The 23,276-nt window shown below is 38.6% G+C and overlaps 1 protein-coding gene across 6 annotated transcripts in view, besides 3 other annotated features; it reads left to right on the top strand.

Moving 5' to 3' along the window:
* Positions 1-23,276, top strand: part of CEMIP2 (cell migration inducing hyaluronidase 2) — an 86,101-nt gene that overhangs the window by 9,193 nt on the left and 53,632 nt on the right. For 5 of the 6 annotated variants that reach the window (XM_047423136.1, XM_005251869.5, NM_001135820.2 and 2 more), the window contains exons 2-5: positions 9,889-10,231; positions 13,933-14,073; positions 14,695-15,256; positions 20,042-20,211. In XM_047423136.1, coding sequence (XP_047279092.1) covers positions 9,901-10,231; positions 13,933-14,073; positions 14,695-15,256; positions 20,042-20,211 — 1,204 coding nt within the window. In that variant the 5' untranslated portion in view covers positions 9,889-9,900. Of the gene's footprint in view, positions 1-9,888; positions 10,232-13,678; positions 14,074-14,650; positions 15,257-20,041; positions 20,212-23,276 lie in introns of those variants that run through there. The other variant, XM_047423137.1, reaches the window with a different exon arrangement.
* Positions 2,782-3,425: an enhancer, noted in NCBI's record as "OCT4-NANOG-H3K27ac-H3K4me1 hESC enhancer chr9:74371765-74372408 (GRCh37/hg19 assembly coordinates)". NCBI's record gives its function as "activates a minimal SCP1, AML or CMV promoter by ChIP-STARR-seq in naive and primed H9 embryonic stem cells {active_cell/tissue: H9 hESC(naive and primed)}" and the evidence as "EXISTENCE:reporter gene assay evidence [ECO:0000049][PMID:30033119]".
* Positions 5,673-6,360: an enhancer, noted in NCBI's record as "NANOG hESC enhancer chr9:74368830-74369517 (GRCh37/hg19 assembly coordinates)". NCBI's record gives its function as "activates a minimal SCP1, AML or CMV promoter by ChIP-STARR-seq in naive H9 embryonic stem cells {active_cell/tissue: H9 hESC(naive)}" and the evidence as "EXISTENCE:reporter gene assay evidence [ECO:0000049][PMID:30033119]".
* Positions 15,576-16,440: an enhancer, noted in NCBI's record as "H3K27ac hESC enhancer chr9:74358750-74359614 (GRCh37/hg19 assembly coordinates)". NCBI's record gives its function as "activates a minimal SCP1, AML or CMV promoter by ChIP-STARR-seq in naive H9 embryonic stem cells {active_cell/tissue: H9 hESC(naive)}" and the evidence as "EXISTENCE:reporter gene assay evidence [ECO:0000049][PMID:30033119]".

The raw sequence follows: 23,276 nt of genomic DNA, 5'->3' as shown, positions 1-23,276 counted from the left end.
GTTGCTCATCTGAATTCCTTAAATACAGACCATAGGCATTTCTTATTTTGTTATTATCAGGTTAAGCAAACTCTTAGTATTTATAGTTAATTTTTGTTTTTCCAGAGATTTATTTCCTAACTATAGTTTTTTAGTAGTTTTCTAGCAAAAAGACTATAGCTTAATACAAAAGTAAATTTTTAAGCAGGAAAATAAATCTTTCAACTTTAAATAATACTTATTCTAATCCAAAGCTTAGTATCTTTTTTTTTTTTTAAGTAAATTTAGTCTTTTTAGGACTATAGGTTTGAAATATTCTGAAGAAAATAAAAATACTTCACCGCAATATATGGCTTCCCTGGTAAAATGAGTATTTTAAATTAAAAGCCTTTAGAGATCAAAAAGTTCCTGGAGAGACTTTTCCCCTACTACAAAGATAGGACTGACCCCCTGCCATCCCCCCCCCACCTCCCCGTACCCCCCAACAAGGAGAACAATTATCCCTGCTTCTTTCCCTTTTATTTCATTATCCGTTGCAGGAAGGACCAAAAATCTAACCACATCCGAACAGCCCTATTCAAGATAAAGACTACCTCCACGGATCATTTAAATTCCAAAAAGAACTATCTAGAAGTCAATTTCTGTTTCCCCATCCAATCATTCTCCCTAGTAATCATTTATTCCCTCAATAGAATTCCTCCTCTTCTCCTTCCCATAACCTTTTTTACCAGGATCCAAGCCCTCATTCTCCCTGGAACCTCAGGATATCATACAACTTCTGTGCCTCATTGGGAAGTTGGGTTTTCCTTCTGAAGGCTCCCATGCTTACACATTAAATATGTCTTTTCTCCTGTGAATCAAACTGCCTCATGGCAGGGATTTTAGTGAACTTTCAGGGAGCCAAAAGCCTATGACCCCCACAGTTTCTTATACTTTCGCTGTATTATATTTTAATAGGTTTTTGGGGCAGGCAAGATTTTTTTTTTCTTTAAGGAAGGAGATAATCTGAGTGATACGTGGTGTGAATCTAGAAGTCTGATGCATACAGATGTTTATTATAACAATAGCTTAACTTGGGAATATCACTTATATGTGTCTAAATCGATCAAATAGATAAAGCAGGTAGGGACATATAAACAATTAGGGGTTCTCAGTCCCTTGTCCTTTCCCTTCATAGGCAGAGGTTTATAATTAAGAGTTGGTGCATTTCCCTTCTACCTCTGAACATTGACCTGGCTATAATCTGCTTAATAAAAGTAAACAAAGATCTGTGTAAGTAAACTAACTGTGCAGAGTGTCTTATTTCTTGGAAACATGCCAAACAGTTGCAGGTGATTGTGACTCATACTGATTTTTGAGAGTTGAAGGAAAAAGACAAAAGCGCTGTGACAAGGGCAAAGAAATAATGGAGAATGCGCCTTGTGGGACAGTGTGAAGGCATGTCCTGTGGAAAATCTTCTATTTTAGGAAATCAAAATATTTTACCCCCAAATATATTTCTTTGACATATTTTGAGATGTCAGCAAACAGCAGCAAACAGAAGTCACCCTGCAAAGCAGTCTTTTATGGGGGAAATTTGCATCTATAGAAAATATGCATTAATGCAGCCAGGCTTTCTCTTGTCCGGTTCTAGGAAGGATTAATTAAGTCTGACTCCTTACAGATCTGAAAGAGACATTTGCCGTCTCTCCTCTCAGGGGTGCTACCTGTGAGGTTCGGTTCATCTACATAACAAGACCACCTTTGCTTGCCAAGCCTCCTTACATAACCTGTCTTACAGCTAAAACCTGATTTACTACTGTAACCTGTTTTCGGCCATGCTCTGAGCCTGCATTCTTTCTCCAATTTCTAGAAGGTATTTACACACTTCTGTACCCCACCAGGGGGTTGGGTTTTCATTCTGAAGTCTCCTGTGTATAACACATTAGATAAAGTTTTGTGTCTTTTCCCCTGTTGATCTGGCTTTTGTGAGTTGATTTTTCAGTGAACCTTCAGGTGGCCAAGGTCCTTGGCCCCACACCTGTTTAGAGGTCTAAGGGTTTTCAATTCTTTGAGAGTATGCTAATACACAATCGAGCAGATCTCTGAATGAAAGTTGACTTAATTGTTTCAACCATATGTCCGTTTTCTCATAAATAGCTGTATGTATAGACCTAGCATTTATGTTGAATTCTTTGCAGTGGTTGTTTTTTTAAAAAATGTATATTATCCTGTGTGCTCTGGGAATAGAATAGGTGATACATTATATTCTGCTAAACTACGTATAGAAAGATTCCTCCCTACCCAAACTCTTTGAAAACCTTTATAATAGTTATTTAAGTACATAATCTTCTTGAGAGTATTGGTCACACTTAATTATTTATTTGAAACTTGCGGAATTAGAGGACCTAAAAAGTCTGCTTTGCTAAGGTTATTTTCTAATTGAACACTTTTTTATGTACAGGGTATTTGTTGAGTTCACTGTTTGTCAATGGACATAATCTGAATCTAAAACAAAACTAAATGAAACGCCCTAACCCTGCTTCCCCTCAAACCAAACCAAACCAAACCAAACCAGAAGATCTAAATGGTGATCCCTGATGGTTATTCTTTGTTGTGTTCTTCTCCTGAAAGTAGGAGGTTGGGAATGTGGAATTATTAATTGAAAATTCAAGGCAGTTAGAATCTGGTTAAATATTTTATTAGGTCAAAAGTACAAATAATTATAGTATCATCTGTTTTCATGATAATTCATGCTCACTCCTCTTTTTACTTTTTGCTGCATGTTTTTACTTTTTGGGCATACTAGTGAATGTGTTAGATCTTCTAAGATCGTAATAAAAGAAAAAATGTTCTTAGCCAAATTTTGGCCAGTTGTACTGAAACTCTCCGAAAGCAAAAATTGTAACTTGACCCTTAGGTTGAGTATTGTTTAAAAAATTATGTCCTTGATCAAAAAAGAACTGACCTGATTAGATCGTGCCAACTTCTTGGCTCTTCCCACAAGCCTGAATCTTCCATTCAAAAATTAGTTTTCTTAAAAAGCCTAGGCGTGATTTGAGAGAGCTTAAATGAATCAAAAGTATTGTATTTTCATTAGTTGTTCAATATGAGGGGATGATGGGGCCAATATGCATTTCTTGGACTGTGTGGCTGTGGCACCTTCTCTGCATTGGGTTGGAAGGGCTAGATTATTTGGGGGACTGATGATATAGCCTAGGGGGCAAGTGTCCTCAACCACCATGTAAGTGATAAGTACCTTTGTCTTGCATATTAACATCTCAGCAGCTGAAAGAACACTAAAATCCCTTTTAAAGAGCTCCTACTAGTTTTGAACTGCTGCCGCTTTCTCTGTGTTGAGAAGCCTTTCTCTTTGATCACAGCATTGAATGGCTGTCAACATAACAAAATAAAGTGGAGTGGAATGTTTCTTTTTTTCTGTGTGCCTACTGCATTTCATAATGTGTAGTTAAAACTATTACAAAATATTGTGAAAGGTTGAATTTATCTAGGTAGTTTGCTGCTCTTTATCTTTAGAATTCCTTCCTGCAGTTGTTAATAATACCTTTTAGTCACCTATTAGTTTTCATACTAGAATTGCATTTTATAAGAATTAACACATAGACTTTTTTTGCTTTAAGTAGTATTGTTCTCAATTTTCTCCTGAATCAGAGAAACTGATATAGAAATTAGTCAAATTGCCCAGAGCCTCAAGGATGTCAAAGAAGGATTAAATAGGAAATTTCTCTCTCTCTGTCTCTCTTTCTCTTGTGTGTGTGTTTGTGTGTGTGTGTGTGTGTGTGTGTGTGAGAGAGAGAGAGAGAGAGAGAGAGAGAGAGAGAGGAATCTGTAGTTGAAGAGATTCTTTGGGAGTATGCTTAGACAAAATCAAATTGATTTCTGAATGAAAGTGGACTTAATTTTTTCAACTATTTGTTTCCTCCTCAATAACTACATGTATGTATATACATATATATATACACACACACATACACACGCACATATATATATGCTAGGTATATATATATAGGTATATACATATACGTGTGTATATATACATATATATATATATATATACACCTATATACATATATATATAGCCTATCTATCTATCTATCTATCTAGCATTTTTGCTTAATTCCTTGGCAGGAATTTGTGATCTAAATTCAACAATCATTTGTTGAGTATCTACTGTATGTTGTATGTAAGCTTTTGCGAGAATACCAATCACTCCTGGTCTCAAGAGGCTTGTGGTCTGCTGCAGATGGACAAGTACATAAATTAACTGAAACATAAGGCAAAAAGTAAGATGATCCTGTAAGAGGTTTTTTTTTTTTTTTTTTTTTTTTTTTTTGTGAGACAGAGTCATGCTCTGTCACCCAGGTTGGAGTACAGTGGTGCAGTCAGTTTGTTGCAGCCTTCACCTCCCAGGCTCAAGTGATCCTCATGCCTCAGTCTAGTGAGTAGCTAGGACTAAAGGCACATGCCACCATGCCCAGTTAATTTTTTTGGTTTTTAATAGAGATAAGGTCTCACTCACTATGTTGCCCAGGCTAGTCTCGAACTCCTGAGCTCAAGCGATCCTCCTGCCTCAGCCTCTCAAAGTGCTGGGATTACAAGTGTGAGCCATTGTGCCCTGCTAATTTATGGAAACTTGAGAAGGGTTCATGGATGAGATAGTGTGGTGTTTGAAAGCATTAAATGAGAATAGCTCAATTTTATTAAAATCATGCCTCTCCTTTATTTATTTAATTTTATTTTTTATTTTTTTAGAGAGTCTTACTCTGTCACCCAAGCTGGGCTGCAGTGGTTCATTCATGGCTCACTGCAACCTTGAACTACTGGTCTCATGCAATCCTCCTGCCTCACTGCCTCCGCCTCCGGAGTAGCTAGGGCTACAGGCATGGAACCACCACAACCAGCTGATTTAATTTTGTGTGTGTGTGTGTGTGTGTGTGTGTGTGTGTGTAGAGACAGGGTGTCTCACTAGGTTCCCAGGCTGGTCTTGAATTCCTGGCCTCAAGCAATCCTCCCATATTGACCCCCCAAAGCACTGAGATTACAGGTGTGAGCCACCTTGCTTGGCCAAAATCATGCCTCTTTTTATAGGTAAAAAAAAAAAAAAAAAAGCATGATTTCCTTTAATGTTATTGAAATCTCAAAATAATTGCTTTCTATGTTTAGTTACTGTAATTTATTACCAAATAAAGTGGATGCTCTTACCAATTATACAAGTCTCTCTCACTTTGAACTGCTTTTGAGGTAATACACCAGTTTTTTTTCCCAAGAGAAGAATTTAATTTAAAATAACAGTGAGTTTTTAAGGTATCTTTTTGTGGGGGCAACTGAGAATTAGACAAAAGCACTAGCTACTTTTTGGAATGCTTATGTTTTTCCAGCATTTGTATTTTTTTTTAACAGCATTTGTATATTTTAAGTAGATATGTTTTCGTAGTCTGAGTCACTTCTTTATTATTTAATTTAATACTGCCTAAATTGCCTGTGCAATTTTCTAATTGCTTTGCTTACTTGCTTGCTTGATTCATAACCAAGCCTTTTGGGCTACTACTTTTTATAATCCAGTAAATAAATACTCACAAAACGACTCTCTCAAGGAATATCTAAATACCAAAAATTATGTTTTAAAAGCTTTGTAGAGTACATTGCCAATTTTAATATGAATGACTTAGATTATCCCCATTTTGGATTATCTGTCTTATTTTAGGTGTTGTCACAGTCTGTAGTTTGTCTAAAAATGTGTCATAAAATACTCATATGCTCCTTCTTCATAGCATGTGTTTTCCACTAGAAATACGACCATTTAAAAAAAATAACATGTGATACAAACTGAGTATTAAAGTGAAATACTGGTCTGTAGCGAAATTATTAAAATGGTGCTTAAGTTTGCCTTGAAAGCCAGAGAGGACTACATTGTCTTTTCCCTAGTAGACTCCTCTTTTGTTCTCAGGACCCCAAACACAAGTACTAACAACTTTAGGGATTAAACAGCCATTGTTGAGATTGCCTGGGAAACTTGGTCAATTTCACTTGCCTTCCAAACAAGTGATTTATTTTATTTTCTTTAAAAAATCTTTTTTTTATTATTATACTTTAAGTTCTAGGGTACATGTGTACAACGTGCAGGTTTGTTACATAGGTATACGTGTGCTATGTTGGTTTGCTGCACCCATCAACTCGTCATTTACTTTAGGTATTTCTCCTAATGCTATCCCTCTCCCAGCCCTCCACCCCTCAACAGGCCCAGTGTGTGATGTTCCCTGCCCTGTGTCCAAGTGATCTCATTGTTCAATTCCCACCTATGAGTGAGAACATGTGGTCAAAACAAGTGATTTAAAATTGAATTTAGGAATTGCATTTCTTGGGGATGCTGTAAATCTTTTTTCTGTATACCCCATAGTTCCTACCACAATCCTCTAACGATAGCAAGAGCTCACAATTAGCTTACTGAATGAATGAAATGTTGATTTTTTCACGAATAATTTAGATCTATAATTATCAATAAAATATATTTTTAAGTAATTAATACATAATATTGTGCCTGAAGTAAATCCACAAACATAAAGTGAAATCCTGAAGCAATGTATCTTATATTTTTAAAAAATTGAATAAATTGAGGAAGCTATCTGTTTAAAATATGATTTTTTTGGTTATTTTATTCTAATACATGGTGCAACACTATATTACCTCTTATGAAAAGAATCTTGTATTTGCTGCTTATACATTTACATATTTTTCAATAAAGTAGAGGTAATGGATTCAGAACATGTGTATACACATTTACATACATGTTTTGCAGGAACTTTATAGGAAAAACACGACCATGCTTATTTTTGATTTATTGACCCCTTTAGTTTGTGACAGATGCCATCTGAATTTTCATGTTGGGATCCATTTTTTGACCATGAAGACACAAATTATTCCCAGTAGGCTGGTGACTTCATTTAGCCTCTCATGCCTTTTATTTTATTGTGGGCACATCTGGAGACCCATTATCTCCCACCAAAGACCCCCGCCCCCACCAGCCTGTTAGTAATATCTCTCACCCTGAAACAATAAGGTATCAGATGATTGCAGCCTCAGAAACAAAAGATTCCCACTCCCTTTCAGAGCAGATTAGGGCTGTGATTCCCCTCCCACCCTGGTGAGCTGACACTCAAGAATACCTACGTTAGCCCTTTCTTTGTTCAGAGAGGATCATAACGGGGTCTTTATTGTACTCTTTCATTTGTTCCAGCAGAATGTCTCCATTATTTTTGTCTGCTGCTTGGCACATGCAGCAGTTCTTCAATAGCACCTTGAATGGTGGTGTTTTTCTTTTGTCATGAAGCTTGAGCTTCATCTAAATAATTACTTTTGTTCAGAAATCAAACCCCACAAACCAAGTGTTTTTGACAGAAACACTGACTCTGAGAATGTTCTTTGCCCCATGTAAAATCAGCATCAATTCCTGATTAGATTCTCTTTCTGCCCCCATTAATTTCCAGGTCGTTTGGGTCCTGGGAATTGCTTGTTTGTGGCTTCTCTAATGACCATTTTGTGTTTAATGGGTTTGCTGATAGTTTAGAGCAATTTGGAAGTACCTTTATGACTAGAATCTTATTCACTGTTTGGCAGAAGATGAAGGGGATTAATTGTAAGGGTATTGAATGAAGTCAGGTGACTCTGAGATGCTCCAGTTGTTAAGGAAGGGATGTAAGAGGTTAAACACCATGTTTCTGAAGCCATAGGGCACACCATACATTTATCCCCAGTCATTGCAATAAGAACTCTTCCACTTCCCCTTCCCTTTCCCCTTCCTCCCTCCTTCCCTCCCCCTTCCTTCCTTCCTTCCTTCCTCTTGGCAAATTAACAAAGTAAGGTTTCATTCAAAACTTATTCTTTAATTCAAAAACTTATAATTGCTCTTTATAGAGAACGTAAAAAATTAAAAAGGACTTCCTTGTTTTTGTGTGTAAGCTTCTGTTAAAAATGAAGCATGTATAGTTTAAACTTCCTTATGAAGAATTCCTGAGATTAATAGGCCTTTTAGACTTAGCACCCTTGCAAAGCTCATTCTTTGCCTCTCGATTGTTTGGAAAGACACAGTGGTGTAAGTTAAAAGCCTGAACTTTAGAGTAAAAATACCTAGGTTTAAGTCCTGGTTCTCCTCTATATTAACTGTGTGATCTTTGGGGAAGTTAATTAACCTCCCTGGGCCTCAGTTTCTCTCATGTGTAAAATGGAGGTAATGGCATCTACCTTATAGATTTGTTGTATTAAATATATTAAATGAATTAATACACATAAGGCACTAATTGTGTTAGCTATTTTTATAATCTTAACCATAATATTTGTCTGTTTTTTCAAACAAAATTTAAGGATTTAAAGAGATAAGATAGACTTTAGACTTTCTCACTAAATGAATTCACAATCTATATCGTTAAGTGATAACACAGATAGTAATACTTAAATTGCTTAATCACTAGATAAGTCTAGTGGGGAAATTAAAACACCCAAACTTGAGTGCCTAGCTATTGGAACTTTTAGGGCAACTTTGGGTCCTCATGACACATGGACTTTTAGCTTCAATTTGAAGAGCTTAGAATAATGATACTCAAAGTGTGACCTGCCAAGATATATTTTTTTAAAATGTAAAATCCAGGGCCCTGTTTGCACCAGCTGAGCCAGAATTATAGGGCAAAGAGGCCAGGAATCTAGGTTTTTAGCAAGCTTCTCTGATGATTCTTAGGCACAGTGAAAATTGAGAACAGTTGGCATAGAACAGCGGCTCTCACCTAGATGTTCATGAGAATCACTTGGGGAGCATTTAAAAGCTGCAAATACTTAGATCCCAGGGACAGCAATCCTGATTGAATTGTTTAGCCGTGGTGCCCTGAGCATTCACCTTAGCGGGTGATTACACTATGCAGCCAGGGTTGAGAAGGAGTGACATTAGAACACAAGTAATGAAGGTGATTGTCAACATGGTTTATTAGATCAGGGATGTAAGCTGACTTGATATTTTCAAGAAGTCATTATGATGGTTACCAGGGGCTGGGAAAAATGGAGAGTTACTTAATGGATATAGAGTTTTTGTTTGGGATGATGAAAAAGTTCTGAAAATGGATAGTGGTGATGGTCACACAACTTTGTGAATGTACGTAATGCCATTGAATTGTACGCTTAACATAGTTAAAATGTAAGTTTATGGTATATTTAACACAATTTAAAAAGTACTTTAAAAAAACCATTTATGATTCATACATTCCAGCTGGATACTGGGGCTCACGCCTGTAATCCCAGCACTTTGCAAGGCTGAGGTGGAAGAATCACTTGAGCTCCGGAGTTTGAGACCAGCCTAGGCAATATAGCAGGATCCCATCTCTACAAAAAATTTAAAAATTAGCCAATCATCGTGGGATGTACCTGTAGTCCTGGCTACCCGGGAGGCTCAGGCAGGAGGATTGCTTGAGCCCAGGAGTGCGAGACTGTAGTGATCTATGATCATGCCACTGCACTTCAGTCTGGGCAACAGAGTGAGACCCTGTCTCTAAAAAATAGAAATTAAAGGCGAGTTGCGGTGGCTCACACCTGTAATCCCAGCACTTTGGGAGGCTGAGGTGGGTGGATCACCTGAGGTTGGGAGTTCGAGACCAGCCTAACCTACATGGAGAAACATTGTCTCTACTTAAAAAAAAAAAAAAAAATTAGCTGGGCGTGGTGGTGCATGCCTCTAATCCCAGCTACTCGGGAGGCTGAGGCAGGAGAATCACTTGAACCTGGGAGGCAGAGGTGGCGGTGAGCCGAGATCATGCCATTGCACTCCAGTGTGGGCAACAAGAGTGAAACTCCATCTCATAAATAAATAAATAAAAGAAATTAAAAAAGAATTTACACATACTGAAGCTTAATTTTTTTTTCTTTTCACAGTAACAGTGTATCATGTATGCCACTGATTCCAGGGGACACTCCCCTGCTTTCCTCCAACCTCAGAATGGAAATAGTCGTCACCCATCTGGCTATGTTCCAGGGAAGGTTGTCCCATTGCGTCCCCCTCCTCCTCCAAAGAGTCAAGCTTCAGCCAAATTTACCTCCATCAGACGAGAAGACCGGGCAACCTTCGCATTCTCACCTGAAGAACAGCAAGCCCAGAGAGAAAGTCAAAAGCAAAAGAGACACAAAAATACTTTCATTTGTTTTGCTATTACTAGTTTCTCATTTTTTATTGCACTTGCAATCATTTTAGGAATATCCTCAAAATATGCTCCAGATGGTAAGTGTGTGTATATGCACATAGAACATATTCTAGAAGACAAAAGAGGAGGAAATAGTAGAATACTTAAAAAAAAATTTATCTTAAGTTGGCCCTAGCTAACTAATATGTAGTTAGGTAATACGAGGTGTCACTTCTTATGAATGAGAGCAATTGTTCAATAATCTGTTGGAAATGATTAAATGGTTGCTCTTCCTGTCCATTGTGCCACTTTGTTGCAGCACTCAGGGAGGTCTTGGAGTACCTCTTTTGGAAATGCTTTGAGGGCCTTCACTAAATTCTTATGGTAGGTATGATTTTTGGACTGCTGCAATTTTTTTTTTCTTTTTTTCTTTTTTTGAGGCAGTCTTGCTCTGTTGTCCTGGCTGGAGTGCAGTGGTGTGTTCTTGGCTCACTGTAACCTCCGCCCCCTGGGTTCAAATGATTCTCATGCCTCAGCCTCCTGAGTAGCTGGGACTACAGGCAAGTGCCACCACATCTGGCTAATTTTTGTATTTTTAGTAGAGACAGGGTTTCACCATGTTGGCCAGGCTGGTCTCGAACTCCTGACCTCAGGTGATCTGCCTGTCTTGGCCTCCCAAAGTGCTGGGATTACAGGTGTGAGCCACCATGCCCGGCCGCAAGTTTTTTTTTTTTTAGTCATACGTATAGTGAACTATATTAGATTTTTTTGTTTAAGTAAGTGACTAAAAATAATAATATTTGTGTTTGTGGCTTGAAATGGGCTTGGGAAGCAGTTCCAAAGGAAAAGTTTCAAATATTTTTGAGTAACAATATATATCCTGGAAGGGAAGCATCCTTTAGGATATATAAGTTCTGACACCTTTGTCTAAAAATCAGTCATTACTTCATAGTTAAATATTATGCAGGGAGATTTTAATTTCTTAAATGGTATTTTCTTTTCAAGTTAATGATATATCAATATTTTGAAAAGTTTTGAAGAAGATGGTTGCAAGTCAGCCTTATTGGAATACCAACAAAGAATTGCCTCATAAAAGAATACCATCCATCTGTCTAAAATCAAAGGACTCGGGGCTGTGAAGAGAGAAGACTCTAACAGCCTGGACTGGGTACCATATTTGTCTACAACAGATTTTTGTCAAGTTAAATGCTTCCTTAAGTGGCTGTAACAGTTCAGAGGCATTTTACTACTTATAAGACTTACAAATACTTTATTATTTAGTTTTCTTGGGTGCTTTCAAGGGATTTTTAAAATTTTAAGGTTCTGGGAGAGGTAGTGCTAGTACTTCTAAGAAAATAAACCTCAAATGAGAGAGACATGCACATTAATATCCTTATGGACCAAACAAGTAGACCACATTATGAACTTATAACATTGATTTCCATTGCATGCGGTATGACTTCCTCTCTCCTTTTCCCAGCAGAATAACCAAGTTCTCTGTGCTGATTCATAATAACCAAGTTCACTGTGCTGATTCATACTTCCCAACTCTTCTGCAGTAAAGGGATGCTAGACCAGTGGGAAATCAGAGCTGAAGTCTATGGCTTTGATTGGTGTTTTCATATTCCATCTAAAACAGGGCATTGCTGATATGGTTCCTTGAACCAACATTCTTTAGTTTCACATTTTGGCAGTGTAAAGTGCAGATCATCAGTGGAAAGATCTGGTATGCTGAAATATTTCAGGGTCAGCTTGACTGTGGTTATTGCTGTTACATAACTTTGATAATATACTCACTGCTCTTCAAGTGGGTAGCTGGGAAGGTGGGGTTGGCTGAGCTACTTTTCAGTGCTTTGTACAGACTACACATTTTCTCATTAAGTGCATTTTACTGGAAGGAAACAGACTGGAATTTTTGGTGATGGTTCTAATGAACCATGCTCTCCTGGGAAATAATTAAAAACAATTAAGAGAAATTATATAATCATTGAAGTAGGCTCCAGATCTCAAAAGACTGGATTTCCTTCTTTATAGCTGGGTACAGTGCTTGTTATAAAACTATGGAGAATTTCAGCTAGATGTTGTATGGGAAGAGGGAGGTAGAAAAGTTAAGGAATCCTCATTATTAAGGCAAAACAAATTTAAGAGTTTTTTTGTTTCTTTGATGGGAAGAAAAGCTTAAAGATTGTTTTTAGTATAATAGTGATACTCATTGACTTATCAGAAGCATTAAATATCAACAGTTATGATACTGCTGTGAGAAAAACTAATTCCATGAAATAATTGCCAAGGATATAACTGGTGAGGCTAATTGTAGCTGTGGTTAATAAGAGAAAGCATAAACCTAGGGCATTGTGAGAGCTCAGAAACAGGAAGATGTTTGCATTAGTGTTATGCAAGTTCAAAATGAGGAATCATTTTTTTTTCTGTATAGAACAATATGTTTGTGTAGCACCCTACCTCTCTACTTTTTCTCTTGTTATTCCTAAACATGTACCTGCCACCTTAATGAAAGGAATTTCTTCCTATGGTTTTTCAAGCATATCTTGCTTATTCTTACCTTAGCTGAGTTTAAATAAAGCCACCTTGGAATTCTGAACAACCAAATGGACTACTTGGATCTCAAGGGATAATTGCATTACTAGTGTTCTCATGATCCTCTTATTTAAATACTGCCCATCCTTTGGTGTCCAGCTCTCAAGTCACCTGTTCATGAAGCTGCCTCAGTTACTCCAGCCCCATGCCTCCTTTGCCTGAGGTCTTTTGAACCTCGACTGACTACCATATTGTTCAGTGTTTCATTATTTCATACTTGGTGTTTTTTCCCTCCAAAGCTTGCATATAAACTCTGAGGAAATGTGAGCTGATTCTATGCTTTATAAATTTTAAAATATCTGGTACAGAGTGGATAAATTGATGCTCCACAAATACTTGGCCATAGGTTGATCAAAATTGAAGGCGTGATTTTTTTTCTCCCCTCTTCAAAATTATGGCGGACCTTAAAGTTTTCATACATTAAATAGCTATGGCTATTTTAATTAAATACTGTTATATTTTTGTTATTATAATACCTATTCAAGAGGCAAGTTCTAATTCCAGTAAAGGAACACTACAAGTCAATAATCTCATTTTCTAAAAGGGGAAACTTGCGTATCACTCAGCTTGCTAAGTAATCTTTGGTTTCTCTAACCTGTAATTTCCTCATCTCTGAAAATGAGAAGTTATGTCTTTAGCCACTTGCCTCTTTCATTTTGTTGGGAGAGTGCACATGGCTGAAGATAGTGATGTTTCTCAGTCTTGGAGAGAGGTGCTATCAGTACTTACTTCATCATTCACTGTGTGCAAGAAGGAACTTGTGAAGACCTGATCAATGTATTATTTAGCAATTTTCATTTTTGATTTACCAGGATGTTGTGAACACATTTCTTTTCTAAAACAGCTTTCTAGTGTGAATCCCAAGAGAATGTATAATTTTGCCTCTTACTATTGGTTTATTTCCAGAGTAGATGATTCAGGGAAACTTTTTTTTTTTTTTTTTTTTTTTGGTGAAGTTTGTCCTGAACTAGATGCTAGCAATTTAGTTTTGTGGTAAAACTTTAAAATGGAAATGTGATGACAAATTAAAGGGTAAGATGGTTCTCTGCTGGTGGGAAGGCGTGGGATTTCCATTCTAATGGCAGGAAATCAACATATGTTAGCACATTTTTTGCAGATCTGCAGTAAATAATGGTAGTGCTTAGATTCGGCTATATTATTCCTGCATTTTAATGGGTTGGATGGAATATCAATGTGTTTATAGAAAATTGCCCAGATCAAAATCCTCGTCTCAGGAATTGGGATCCAGGACAAGATTCTGCAAAGCAAGTTGTTATCAAGGAGGGAGATATGCTCCGTCTGACCTCAGACGCCACCGTGCATTCTATAGTCATTCAGGATGGAGGTAGGTAATGGTTCCTGCCTATGGGAACTGCAAGGTTGCTCTTTAATGTGGGGGATATTTGATGTTCCTTATGTAGAAGACTATTTTTAGGCAGAATAGGCTTTAGTTTGTGGTGTCACTCTAACCATGGAGATTTGGAAAGATCATGAGATAAAACCAGAGAATTTATCCAGAGATAAAAAACATAGAATTTAAGAGCTTAGACCTTAGGTATCACTCAAATCAAGACCCCTGATTTATAGACAAGGAAACAGTTCCAGAGAGGTGATCTCTCAGAGCTAAATTTTTGTCACAATTCTGAGAGTGATTTTGTCACAATTCTGAGAGTTAACATGAGTAAACATATACAAAAATAAGATTCAGATTTGTAGACTCTTAGATATTTTTAAGAGAAATGATTTAACCTCTAAAGTGAGTAGGTTGAAATTCACAGTCATGGGCATTGAGAGTATATTAAGATATGAACTCTTCATTTTTCCCTTTAGTTTTCTAAGCAGATTCTTAGCGAATTCTTTTTTCCGACCTAATTGCGGAAGTGTATTTAACTTAAGGTGAAATCTATTTCCTTGTATCTCAGAAAGATGATTTAGAAGTTGGCTTACAGGGTGGTGTTCCCTGCAGGACTGCTTGTATTTGGGGACAATAAAGATGGATCCAGAAATATTACTTTGAGGACTCATTACATCCTGATCCAGGATGGTGGGGCGCTTCATATTGGAGCAGAAAAATGCCGCTATAAATCCAAAGCGACAATTACCTTGTATGGCAAGTCAGATGAAGGTGAAAGTATGCCAACATTTGGCAAAAAGTTTATTGGTGTGGAAGCTGGCGGGACACTGGAGTTACATGGGGCACGGAAGGCATCGTGGACGTTGTTGGCAAGGACCCTGAATTCCTCAGGCTTGCCCTTTGGGTCCTATACCTTTGAAAAGGACTTTTCCCGGGGCCTCAATGTGAGGGTCATTGACCAAGACACGGCCAAAATTTTGGAAAGTGAGAGATTTGATACCCATGAATACCGCAATGAGAGCAGGCGGCTTCAGGAGTTTCTGAGATTCCAGGATCCAGGTCGGATTGTTGCCATAGCTGTCGGGGATTCAGCCGCTAAAAGTCTCTTACAAGGAACCATCCAGATGATCCAGGAACGGTTGGGAAGTGAACTGATCCAAGGACTGGGCTACAGGTAGGCATACCTTCTTCCCAGATCCCTATCAGAGTCCGTGTCTGTGTGAGAGGAGAGTGAGGGTGGGGAAAGGAGCCACAGCCACAGCATGACTCAGGCATCAGAAGGGCCACTCTACCATTTGCATGTCTGGTAGCTTTGAGACATGGGGCTGGAGGATAGGACACCACATACAAAAGCTATTTTCATTGGCTTTGGTTTACAAAGCCCTTTGTGAACTGGAGTGCCAGACTTGTGAAAAGTTGAGAGCAGAAGTGTGGTACTGAAAAACAGTCAGGCAGTTTAAGGACAATTTGCCTCTGAAGATACTTCTTCCTTTCGTTACCTTCTGAAGATCATATGAAACTCAGGCTAATTGAGGCAACTTAATGAGTTTAAAGGTTAGGGCAGAATTTCATGCTAAGTTCTAAACCTGTCTTAAAAGGCTGAGGGGGTAGAATATGCAGTTTTTCTTTTTCTTTTTCTTTTTTCGGACTCCTTTGCAGGCTGATTGGAATCTGCATGTTTGATTGGCACAGGTCTATGGACCCCTGGCATATATGAGGAAGGAAAAAGTTAAAGGGCTAGGAAATTCATCCAGATAGTAGAATTCATTTCTGCTATTTATGGTTCTTGTACCCTATTCCTTTTATTTTTATTTTTAGTGACAGGGTCTTGCCCCGTTGCCCGAGCTGGAGTGCAGTGGTACAATCGTATCTCACTGCAGCCTCAACCTCCCAGGCTCCAGTGATACTTCCACCTCAGCCTCCCAAGTAGCTGAGACTACAAACAGTTGCTACCACACCTGTCTAATTTTTAAACTTTTTGTAGTTGAGGGGGTCTCACTTTGTTGCCCAGGCTGGTCTAAACTTCTGTGCTCAAGTGATCCTCCTGCCTCACCCTCCCAAAACATCGGCTTCATAGGCATGAACCACCACACCCAGCCTTCTTGTGCCATATTCTAATTAACTGTGATTTCCTAACGCAGTTCTGAGTCTAGGGGAAGTAGCCGACCTAACATTTCATTTAAAAGACAGAAGCTTTTAATTCTGCTGAATGCTTTTAGTAAAGTCAGGGAATATCTGTGGTGGAAAAAGTAAGAGTACCTCAAAACCGACATGCCGTAATGATCTAGTTACTATTTTTTCCTTTGATAGTAGGTTGTTGGAATGGGGTATTACCTACAGCAATTCTAGAACAGGCTAGAAAGACAAAAAATAGTGAAGAAAAACAGTCTGTAACATTTTAGAAATGGCTTTTATTCATGTAGGGGATATTTAGGAGATGCTAAGTGCTGGATACCCATGGATGCTTAGACGAAAGGACACTGTCTCAGAGCCCATGGTTAATCTAGTGGATAAACAGAGACCTAAATAGATGATGATCATACAGTGAGACATGCTGCAGTTACAGGGTGCAATGGGAGCGTGAGTATTAACAGAAGGAGCCTCTCAATTGGCCTAGTGAATCAGTACAGGCTCCCCAAAGGCAAGAGACTTGAAAGAAGTTCGGGAGCGTGCTGTGTAGACAGTGGAGAAGAAAGCTTTTTCAGACCAAGGGAATTCCATGTGCAAAACCTCAAAGGGTTTTTTTTTCTTTCTGGTTTTTGTTTTTGAAATATGATACACATGCAAAAAAGTGCCAAAAATAACAATGTAGAGCTTAATAAGTTGCCGCAATGTGATGCCTGTGTAGCCACCACCCAGGTCAAGAAATAGGACATTGCCAGCAGCCCAGAAGTTCCCTTCCTCCCCTCTGCTATGCATTAATCACTCTCTTCCCCACCGAAGGGAGCCATGCTCCTGAATCTGTGGGATCTACTAAAGTTTAGGTTTGCCTGTTTTTCAACTTTATATAAATGGAAGCCGACAATGTTATATTTTGTGTCCGGCTTCTTTGCACAGTGTTATGTTATTGAATGCTATTCATATTGTTGCATGTAGTGCTGGCTCATTTTCTTTTCTTTTCTTTTTTAATTTTAAATAGAGATGGGGGTCTCACTCTATTGACCAGGCTGGTCTCAAACTCCTGGCCTCAAGTGATCCTCCCATCTCAGCCTCCCAAATTGCTGCGATTACAGGCATAAGCCATGTGCCCGGCCGAGGCTCATTTTCTTTGCTGTTTATTTTCTGTCGTATGAATATACCACAGTTTATTTATTGGTGGCCATCTGAGTGGCTTTCCAGTTTGGACCTGTTACAAAATTGCTTCCTTAAATGTTCCTTGATCCATCTCTTAATGTACATGTGCATGTATTTCTATAATATATAAACCTAGGAGTGGAAGCATGATCTTTTCTAAGTTAGATACCTACTTTGTTTCATTATCCAGTAATGCCAGGGATTACAACTTGTATTTCTTCATGCTACTATTGTTTCTAGTTTTGCATGATCATTAGCTGTGACCATTTTGACTTTCTTAGGTTCCTCTCCCTACTGGTTTCTAAATTCCTTTTAAAATATTGCTCTTGATTTCATAGAGAACTTAGAGTTGTGATCTTTTGCCAGCGTTCCATTGCATTGACGTTATCTCCAATGTACATAAACACATAGGCCTTTGAAGATAATGTTCTGGTGCGCTGAAATTTTCCCTCAAGTGGAGGAGGGAAGTAGGAGTGTTTTGGAGATAATGTCGATAGAAGAGAAAGAACATTGTTTTATAGTTGCTGAGGCAGTTCTGGTAAAGAAAGGAAGCCTGTGATAATTCTTCCTCTCTTTTCTTCTCCAAATAGGAGATAATATATTGAGACATTCTTTATTTGATTCTTTCTGCTTTATCAAGTGGTATAAAACAAGCTACAAAGCATTGTCGTCCAAAGAGTAGCTAATCCATACAGGGGCGGCTGTGGAATTTGTAAGGGTGTAGGCATGCTTCGGTTAACTTTTATCTGTGAATATCTAGCCATCTGTCAGACACAGATTACATTTGTTATTTTTTTTCTAGAGTGGGAAGTTGACATTTTTCTTTTCGTGTTTTAAACCAGGAGTCTTAAAGCAGATTTTCTGGTTTTTAAAAATTGTCCCTTTGCGTTGATTGCTTTTGGTCACAAGTTTGAGCATGTCTCTCAGATATTTAGTATCAGAAATGTTTTTAGGCCGGGTGTGGTGGCTCATGCCTGTAATCCAAGCACTTTAGGAGGCCAAGGAGGTCAGATCACCTGAGGGCAGGAGTGCGAGACCAGCTTGGCCAACATGGTGAAACCCTGTCTCTACTAAAAATTAAAAATACAAAAATTAGCTGGGTGTGGTGGTGGGCACCCGTAATCCCAGCTACTTGGGAGGCTAAGGCAGGAGAATCGCTTGAACCCCAGAGGTGGAGGTTGTGGTGAGCCGAGATCACGCCATTGCACTCTAGCCTAGGCGACAAGAGTGAGACTCTGTCTCAAAAAAAAAAAAAAAAAAAAAAAACCAGAAAAGAAAAAGAAATAATGGTGTTTTCAAACACATTGCTGTCAACAAATAGACATATAGTATATAAAATTTAAAATCTGTTGGATAGTGATTCTACAGCTTTGATTTAATTTAGGAACGTTAAGAAATCTCTGCTGGCTGCGGTGGCTCACACCTGTAATCCCAGCACTTTGGGAGGCCGAGGCAGGCTGATCACCTGAGATGGGGAGTTTAAGACCAGCCTGACCAACATGGAGAAACCCCATCTCTACTAAAAGTACAAAATTGGCCGGGCGTGGTGGCACATGCCTATAATCCCAGCTACTCGGGAGGCTGAGGTGGGAGAATTGCTTGAACCTGGGAGGCAGGAGGTTGCGGTGAGCCGAGATTGCGCCATTGTACTCCAGCCTGGGTAACAAGAGCGAAACTCCATCTCAAAAAAAAAAAAAAAAAAAAAAAAAAAATCTAACTCAGTTCTCAACCTTGCCTGCACACCTGGAGACTTTAAAAAATCTTGACACCTAGGGTGCACCTTAGATCAATTATGTCAGGAAGAAGGATAAAAGAAGGATAAGACTCCCAGGCTACTGAAGGTTGATGATCACTACTCTAACCTCTAGTCTATAATTTAGGGGTTTTCAAAGTATGGTGCCCTGACCAGCAGCATTAACATAATGTGGTAACCTGTTAGAAATACAAATTCTCTGGTCCCATCTCAGAAACTGAGAGAGTGGGGCCAGCAATCTAATTCAGCATGCCCTTCCTTTCTTCTGTTGATCCTGATGCGTACTGAAGTTTGAGAACCACTGCCCAAATCAGTGGTTTTTAAGCCTAACTGCATGTTCCAGTCACCTGGGAACTTTAAAAACATAGTAAGACCCTGTCTCCAAAAAATAAAAATAAATTATTGCAAACTACAAATGCTGTACCCAACCTTTTGCAATTATTAACATGATTCCCTTTATCTGGGATGGGGTCTGTGCATTGATATATTTTTCAAACTCCCTGGGTAATTCTATTATGCAATTAGATTTTTGAGAACATTGTATTAATAGAAAGTTTAAAAGAGAGCATGTGATAATCATTTTAAGAGAAAGTAAATGGATTTTGGCCAGAATGTTATGTGTGATATGGATGTGTATTGAGGAAGTAAGTCAATGATTAATTGAAATTGTAGTCATCGGTCTTTCACCTATTACAGAGCTGGACAAACAAGTATTTAAAAAGTAGCTGCATTTCCTTCTAGGAGAACTAGGTGCAGTCAAGGTTTGGAACTGCAGCCTCATATAGAAAAAACATTAGGGATTGACGAAAATGAAATATGAGAATTAAACAGCACTCTGTAATAACATCTTTGTCAGGGATTTTGTGAATACCATGACAAGTAATCAAATGCACATGCTCTTTTTCCTTCTAGGCAAGCTTGGGCTTTAGTTGGTGTCATTGATGGTGGAAGCACTTCTTGCAATGAATCCGTGAGAAACTATGAAAATCATAGCAGTGGCGGGAAGGCTCTTGCCCAAAGAGAATTTTATACTGTGGATGGCCAGAAGTTCTCTGTGACAGCTTATAGTGAATGGATTGAAGGTAGGCAAGTAGAGTTTATACTCTTGTAAGACACTGATAAGTATTATGACAGATTTTTTTTTTCTAAGAATAGTATTATGTTCAAATGACAGTCCGCCTGGTTAGATTTCTCAACTAGTTGAAGTTGAAACTTAGTTTTCCTACTGTGCTTAATCTTTTAGAACAAAATCCAGTAATCTTTTAGAACAGGGGTCTCCAATCTTTTGGCTTCCCTAGACCACATTGGAAGAAGAATTGTCTTGGGCCACGCATAAAATACAGTAACACTAATAATAGCTGATGGGCTAAAAAAAAAATCTCATAATGTTTTAAGAAAGTTTATGAATTTGTGTTGGGCTGCATTCAAAGCTGTCCTGGGCCACATGTGGCCCACGGGCTGTGAGTTGGACAAGCTTGTTTTAGAACAAAGCTGAGTTGGGGGTGCTGAAACTAGAATAGACCATTCTCTAGTCTAGAAACAATCTTCTGGGCTTGGCGTGAAGAGATGATCTATTAGGGATGAGGAAGCTGGAATCAAGCCCCAGCTTTCTGCCTCCAAGATGACTGCTGTTTCTTTGCCTCTGCCAAAAAGCATAGGTGGTAGATAAGAAGCGTTTCTTAGCAGGAATTTTGTCCTGTAAGTGGAGTTTAGTGGTCCTGTCTCCAGTACCACTAAAAAAAAAGTAGTCATCTTTTTTTTTTTTTTTTTTTTTTTTTTTTTTGAGACAGAGTCTCACTCTGTCACCCAGGCTGGAGTGCAGTGGCATGATCTCACTGCAACCTCCGCCTCCCAGGTTCAAGCAATTCTCTGCCTCAGCCTCCCAAATAGCTGGTATTCTAGACAGGGGATAATTACTGACAGACTTCTAGTCAACGTTTCCTTTGTAGGAAATGTTATTTACATTTCCACATTAGTGATAAATACTCATTTTTGAAAGATGGTATGTTCTAGTTATCGTAAGATATTGTTCATGTCTCATGTTCTCAGTGACTTACTTTCTGGAAGAGGTAGAAAATTTTCTTCAGGAATCAGAGAATGAACTTTTTTTATGTTTCCCATTCAGTAGTGCTAGTAGGAGATAATCCGAGACAGGATTTTCTTTTAAAGCCAAGAAAAAATGTGTTAGTGACTAATACAAATCTTCCCCATCTAACCTTCTGGCTTTAAAAAAATTTAACAGATAGAAACAAATTCTAGTGATCTTTCAAATCAAAATTTATTTGTCTAGTAGTCATCTTTTTTTTTTGAGACGGAGTCTCACTCTGTTGCCCAGGCTGGAGTGCAGTGGCCTGATCTTGGCTCATTGCAACCTCTGCCTCCCAGGTTCAAGCAATTATCTGCCTCAGCCTCCCAAATAGCTGGTGTTACAGGTACCCACCACCATGCCTGGCTAATTTTTGTATTTTTAGTAGAGATGGGGTTTCACCATCTTGGCCAGGCTGGTCTTGAACTCCCGACATTGTGATCCACCCGCCTCAGCCTCCCAAGGTACTGGGATTACAGGCGTGAGCCACCATACCCGGTTAGTCATCTTTTTCTAAAGCATTACTGAATTTTTGTTTTTTTTTGAGATGGAGTCTTGTTCTGTCGCCCAGGCTGGAGTGCAGTGGTGCGATTGTCGCTCACTGCAGACTCTACCTCCTGGTTTCAAGCAATTCTCCTGCCTCAGGCTCCCAAGTAGCTGGGATTACAGGTGCGTGCCACCACGCCTGGCTAATTTTTTTGTATTTCTATTAGAGACAGAGTTTCACCATGTTGGTCAGGCTGGTCTCCAACTCCTGACCTCAAGCGATCTGTCGATCTCAGCCTCCCAAAGTGCTGGGATGACAGGCATGGTTGCATTACTGAAATTTTATATGAAAAAAAGAATGTTTCTTAATTGCTCTTAGGGGAATTTATTTTGTTGGCAAAAATGTGAAATTTGGGGTAGGGGTTGTTTTTGCCTCCATGAGGTTTTCTTTATTTGTTCTTAACCTGCTTGTTTTGATTCTTGGAGAGTATAATATAGAGGCTTTGAAAGAAATTGGGCTCTGGAATTAGATTAGCTTTAAATTGGGGGCTCTACCATATTTAGCTGTTATTCAAACTCCCTGATCTTTGGTTTCTTCATCTCTAATAAATATAATAGCTCCTGTCTCTCACGGTTGTTTTGATGAATGGGTATTATGCATGTGGGATCTCAACAACTATTAGCTATCATTATTGTTGTTAGAATTACTATTATTAATATTATTATTTGTATAAAATCTTACAGGCTTTAGTATCTGGCAAGACACATATTCAGAAAACATTTTAGATTTGTTAGGCACTTTATTTCTGTGCTTTATAGAGATAGAAAAGCAGGGTAGATCAAGAGTACAAAAACAGAATCCAAGACTTGCCCAGGTTAAGTTTTATCTGGATAGTTGGCAGAGCCGGGTACGGTGACTCATGCTTATAGTCTTAGAGCTTTGGGAGCTTGAAGTGGGAGGATCACTTAAGGTTAGGTCTGGGCAACATAGTGGGACCATGTCTATAATTTTTTTTAAAGACTGTAAGAATACATATTATTGGTTGTTCCTTGCTTGAATTTCCCCACTTTTGATTCTCCAAAGTGAATGTGTTCTTCTTTCACTCATATTGTCATCCCTTAGAGTTAGCATATTTTTTTTCTTTTTCTTTCTTTTTTTTTTTTTGAGACGGAGTCTCGCTCTGTCACCCAGGCTAGGGTTCAAGCGATTCTCCTGCCTCAGCCTCCTGAGTAGCTGGAACTACAGGCACGTGCCACCACACCTGGCTAATTTTGTATTTTTAGTAGAGACGGGGTTTCACCATGTTGGCCAGGCTGGTCTTGAACTGCCGACCTCAGGTGATCTGCCCACCTTGACCTCCCAAAGTGCTGGGATTACAGACTTTTCTTTCTTTCTTTCTTTTTTTTTTTTTTTTTTGAGAAAGATCTTACTCTTGTCTCCCAGGCTGGAGTGCAGTAGTCCAATCACAACTCACTGCAGCCTTGACCTCCTGGGCTTAAGCAATCTTCCCAGTATCTGGGAGTACAGGCATGCACCACCACACCTGGCTAAGTTTTTGATTTTTTTGTAGAGAT

Source organism: Homo sapiens, chromosome 9 (genome assembly GCF_000001405.40).
Source record: "Homo sapiens chromosome 9, GRCh38.p14 Primary Assembly".
Classification (NCBI taxonomy): domain Eukaryota; kingdom Metazoa; phylum Chordata; class Mammalia; order Primates; family Hominidae; genus Homo; species Homo sapiens.
This window is presented reverse-complemented; position numbering and strand designations above follow the sequence as displayed.